The sequence below is a fragment of the Homo sapiens genome, chromosome 6 (genome assembly GCF_000001405.40).
Source record: "Homo sapiens chromosome 6, GRCh38.p14 Primary Assembly".
Taxonomy (NCBI): Eukaryota; Metazoa; Chordata; class Mammalia; order Primates; family Hominidae; genus Homo; species Homo sapiens.
Genome location: NC_000006.12, coordinates 164706910 through 164712799, shown reverse-complemented (window position 1 = coordinate 164712799; position 5890 = coordinate 164706910). Strand labels below are relative to the sequence as shown.

The 5890-nt window shown below is 42.8% G+C and overlaps 1 annotated feature.

The window, feature by feature from the left end:
- Positions 4278-4822: an enhancer, noted in NCBI's record as "H3K27ac-H3K4me1 hESC enhancer chr6:165129011-165129555 (GRCh37/hg19 assembly coordinates)". NCBI's record gives its function as "activates a minimal SCP1, AML or CMV promoter by ChIP-STARR-seq in primed H9 embryonic stem cells {active_cell/tissue: H9 hESC(primed)}" and the evidence as "EXISTENCE:reporter gene assay evidence [ECO:0000049][PMID:30033119]".

Here is a 5890-nt window from a genome sequence, read left to right as displayed (position 1 = left end):
TTGGTTTGGTTTGGTGTCTTTCTCTAATTTTAGAAAATTTTCCATAATTATTACTTCAAATTTTATTCAGACTTTTTTTTAATTTATTCAAATTTTTGTCTGTTTGTTTCTTCTCCTTGTGGTGTTACCATTATGAATGTTTTGCACCTTTTGTAATTGTCTCACAGTTCTGGAATATTCTGTTTTATCTCTTAATTAGCCTTTGCCTTTCACTTTCAGAAGCTTCTACTGACTTACATTCAAACTCCCTGGGTCTTTTCTTGGTCATATCCAGTCTACGGCTGAGCCTCTCCAAGGCATTCTTCATTTCTATTACAGTGTTTTTTATTTCTACCATTTCTGTTTGATTCTTTATTATAGTTTTTATCTTTCTGCTTACATTTCCCATCTGTTGTTTTTCACGTTGTTCACTTTTCCATTAGAGCCCTTAGCAGATAAATCACAGTTGTCTAAAACTCCTGGTCTGATCATTCCAAAACTCTGCCATGTTTGTCTGGTGGTGGTGCCTATTCTGTCTCTTCCAGTTATTGTTCTTTAATCTTTAAATATGCCCTTGTAGTTATTTGTTGATAGTCAGACATGATGATGGCTGCATTAAGCAACTCAAGTAAACCAGGCTTTAGCTTGGGGTTTTGTGTTTAAATGGCTGTGAATTAGGCAGTGTTTGCTGTTTTCTGTAGCTGTCTGTCATAGGAAAAAATTTCCTCTTCTGTCCTTGTTTCTGTCTCCTGTGTCATACTTGGGTTCCCTACAGACTTCTTAAATAAGGTCTGAAACATGCGCTTCTTTCTGTTGTATTCTCCCTGGTGTCAGCTCCAGTAGCAGTTTCTGCTCCTGGGCTTCTGCTCTGGTAATCTGTGATTCCCCGTCTGTCTATCTCGTCTCTAATTTGGGGAGCAGTGGTTTATCCTGTGACCCCAATTCTCCCATGGAGCCAAGAAGAGTTGTTGATTTTCAGTTTATTCAGCTTTCTCTTATTGTTATGAAAACAAGATTGATGATTTTAAAGCTTCTTATATGCCAGATCAGATTAGGACCAGTTCTGAATATTCAGCAGAGAGTATTCAAAGAGTTCAACCTGCAATTTGAATCACATCTAAAATTCTTACAGTTAAACCTAACTTTCTAAGTAGTGATCAGAACACCTTTTCTTTCAATGTTCCAGTTATTTACTGAGAAGAAATATAATATCTTAATAATTCCCACTACAATGCAACTTCTCAGAATGTATCCAAATGATCTTTTCTTGATTTTTCATAACACACTCAAATATTCTTTTGTCATATTATACTCACTGTAAAATCAGACTTTCAATAAACTTTGGAAAAACAGAAGATATAAAAACATTATTATCAAGCAAGTTAAAAAGGGCTCAAATAGCATGTTAAGTCCCACTTTCTGACCTATGTGACTCCAGTTATCACTATGCATGACCTTTTCTTGGATTAGAAGACAGAGTCACTTGCGAAGTGAGAGGGGCGAGTATTGCGGGCCTGGATTTGAGCCCTGTGCCATGGCTTTACATTGCTCTGTTTGCTGGATGCTTAAATCTTAGCCATGTATTGAATTGAGATAAAATTCATGAACTCTTGCTCAACTTTAATATTACCATTTCTCCAATAAAATTAATTTCAAACGTTATTAATAATTACAATTCTTTTTTACAGTGAGTTTTAAATGCTACCACCTCTGATGGGGCTGATTTCTGATTAGAGTATTTTTAAACCTTGACCAGTGGTTCTATGCAGTAGATTAAATTTGCACATACACATCACAGTGATACGGACAGGAGACAGGGAGATACTGGGTAGAATAGGGCTGTACCCTGGCAAAGGCCCCACCCTCAAGCCTGAAGACCCCGGCCCTAAATGAGGAGAAGGATTTCTATTTTCATGCTCAAAAAGTTGCCTTTTGACTCGCCACACCCCCTATCCTGCCCCCATGTAAAATTGAGACCTTAGCGGGCACTCACACAAGCAGCTAAACATCGGGACCAGCAGACCAGTGATGCAGAACAAGGCAGAGAAAGAGAGAAGAGGAAGGACGTCTGGACGCCAAGCGGAGTTCAGCCAGGGGTGGTCAGGAAAGAGTCCAGCTGCCGAGTGGCCCCATTCCAGGGGAAGACCACCTTCCCACTCCATCCCCCACTTCCAGCTCCCCATCCACCTCACTGAGAGCCACCCCCACCACTCAGCACTCCATCCCCCACTTCTGGCTCCCCATCCATCTCCCTGAGAGCCACCCCCACCACTCAGCACTCCATCCCCCACTTCCGGCTCCCCATCCATCTCCCTGAGAGCCACACCCACCACTCAGTAAAACCTTGCACTCATCTTTCAAGCCCACATGTGATCTGATTCTTCCCGTACACTGGACAAGGACTTGGGATGCAGAAGGCTGTCACACTGGCCCCTGCCTTTGCGATAAGGCAGAGGGTTCATTGAGCTGATTAACACATGAGCCGTTTGCAGATGGCAAATCTAAAAGAGCTTGATAACACACACCCACTTAGGCTTCAAGAGTCGCAGACAACCTCTCCTAGATGCTGTCCTGGGACCAGAGCCCAAAAGCGCTCTTGCCGGCCTCTGCACCTGCCTGTCTGCATGCTCCCCCTAGGAGTTTGAGCTGTTGGGCGACCAAGCTGGGGACACCCTTGTCGCATACTCTGCAAGGAGAATCAGGGAACTCTTCTGTTTCAACAGTTTGCTGTGAGGTATTTGATAAGTAGTTTCTCCACACATATTACAAAGGCAGGAGAATGTGGAAGGGGTAAAGATGATAGATGAGGAGCAGGGAGAGAAGGCTCTAAAGACAAACCTGATGGTGCTGCCAGGGACAGGCTGGAGGTGATGAGATGCCCTCCCTCACTGTCAGTGTGGCCAGTTATTCAACGTGTTCATCCTTCCTGCTGGCATAAGGTCCCACACTGGCCCTAGGAATCTTGTTGTCATTTGATGAGGGGTCTTCACAAAGCAAGGACATGCCATCACTTGTCTCATTCACCCTCTGGCTGTCCCTGGTGCCCATACAAGTTGTCTGACCTGATTTATTCATCTATCGAGGCAGAACAAAGACAAACAAGGGCGATGCTAACAGTGGTTCTTATTGCAGAATATTGGATGCTCTTAAGGAAGAGGAAAGACTATGATTTGGAGCTGGGTGAGATAACAGGTATTTGGAAAAAGGCTTCACTTATTTTCTTCCCCAAATGGTATTTTCAGATAAGGAAAGATTCAAACACTAGCTTTGGTAATTATATAGCAAATGATAAAATGAGGAAATAGCTTCAGAATAAATGTGGAATGTAGAAGCAAATCAATGTTAAAGAAGATTACTTATTTGGGTCTTCATGTGTTATTCAGTTATAGTCCTCTCTTTCCCCACTCAAACTATGGACTCAAGAATCACAATAACATTTTTTTTTCATAGCACAAACAGTTCAATTTTCCAATTATATTCAGATACAGCTAATAAAAATCACATACCTAGTGGATGAATTGGGTTATATTATTACACATAATGTTTGTTATGATTGAATATTAAAGTAGATGTCAAACATACGAATTAAATTATCTGTTAAAATTGTATTACACCCTCATTTACAACATTGTAATATATTTATTTGTTTGAAATTATATTTCTTACTTATGACTTGTATTACTCTGAGGAAAAATTTATTAAAGTAATTTTCCTAGAAATTATTAAAATTTAACAGAAAATTACCTACCTTGAGTTCCAAAAAATCACATTACTTCTAAACAAAATGTATTTACTATTCAAAATCAAAACAAATTAAAATTTGGCTTAAATATTTCAAAATCTTTTGAAAATTTTACATACACTTGTAATGATGGGAAAACCTTTTTTTCCCCATCATATAAGAAAGGAAGAGAGAGATCGGGAGCCAAGATGGCCAAATAGGAACAGCTCCGGTCTATAGCTCCCAGCGTGAGCGACACAGAAGACAGGTGATTTCTGCATTTCCATCTGAGGTACCGGGTTCATCTCACTAGGGAGTGCCAGACAGTGGGCACAGGACAGTGGGTGCAGCACACCATGTGCGAACCGAAGCAGGGAGAGGCATTGCCTCACTCGGGAAGTGCAAGGGGTCAGGGAGTTCCCTTTCCTAGTCAAAGAAAGGGGTGACAGAGGGCACCTGGAAAATCGAGTCACTCCCACCCCAATACTGTGCTGTTCCAACGGGCTTAAAAAACGGCGCACCAGGAGATTATATCCCACACATGGCTCCGAAGGTCCTATGCCCACGGAGTCTCGCTGATTGCTAGCACAGCAGTCTGAGATCAAACTGCAAGGCGGCAGCGAGGCTGGGGGAGGGGCGCCTGCCATTGCCCAGGCTTGCTTAGGTAAACAAAGCAGCTGTGAAGTTCAAACTGGGTGGAGCCCACCACAGCTCAAGGAGGCCTGCCTGCCTCTGTAGGCTCCACCTCTGGGGGCAGGGCACAGACAAACAAAAAGACAGCAGTAACTTCTGCAGACTTAAATGTCCCTGTCTGACAGCTTTGAAGAGAGCAGTGGTTCTCCCAGCACGCAGCTGGAGATCTGAGAGCTGGCAGACTGCCTCCTCAAGTGGGTCCCTGACCCCTGACCCCCGAGCAGCCTAACTAGGAGGCACCCCCCAGTAGGGGCAGACTAACACCTCACACGGCTGGGTACTCCTCTGAGACAAAACTTCCAGAGGAACGATCAGACAGCAGCATTCGCGGTTCACGAAAATCTGCTGTTCTGCAGCCATGGCTGCTGTTACCCAGGCAAACAGGGTCTGGAGTGGACCTCTAGCAAACCCCGACAGACCTGCAGCTCAGGGTCCTGTCAGAAGGAAAACTAACAAACAGAAAGGACATCCACACCAAAAACCCATCTGTACATCACCATCATCAAAGACCAAAAGTAGATAAAACCACAAAGATGGGGAAAAAACAGAGCAGAAAAACTGGAAACTCTAAAAAGCAGAGCACCTCTCCTCCTCCAAAGGAATGCAGCTCCTCACCAGCAACAGAACAAAGCTGGATGGAGAATGACTTTGAGGAGTTGAGAGAAGAAGGCTTCAGATGATCAAACTACTCCGAGCTACAGGAGGAAATTCAAACCAAAGGGAAAGAAGTTGAAAACTTTGAAAAAAATTTAGACGAATGTATAAGTAGAATAACCAATACAGAAAAGTGCTTAAAGGAGCTGATGGAGCTGAAAGCCAAGGTTCGAGAACTATGTGAAGAATGCAGAAGCCTCAGGAGCCGATGCGATCAACTGGAAGAAAGGGTATCAGTGATGGAAGATGAAGTGAATGAAATGAAGCGAGAAAGGAAGTTTAGAGAAAAAAGAATAAAAAGAAATGAACAAAGCCTCCAAGAAATATGGGACTGTGTGAAAAGACCAAATCTATGTCTGATTGGTGTACCTGACAGTGACAGGGAGAATGGAACCAAGTTGGAAAACACTCTGCAGGATATTATCCAGGAGAACTTCCCCAATCTAGCAAGGCAGGCCAACATTCAGATTCAGGAAATACAGAGAATGCCACAAAGATACTCCTTGAGAAGAGCAACTCCAAGACACATAATTGTCAGATTCACCAAAGTTGAAATGAAGGAAAAAATGTTAAGGGCAGCCAGAGAGAAAGGTCGGGTTACTCACAAAGGGAAGTCCATCAGACTAACAGCGGATCTCTTGGCAGAAACTCTACAAGCCAGAAGAGAGTGGGGGCCAATATTCAACATTCTTAAAGAAAAGAATTTTCAACCCAGAATTTCATATCCAGCCAAATTAAGCTTCACAAGTGAAGGAGAAATAAAATCCTTTACAGACAAGCAAATGCTGAGAGATTTTGTCACCACCAGGCCTGCCCTAAAAGAGCTCCTGAAGGAAGCACTAA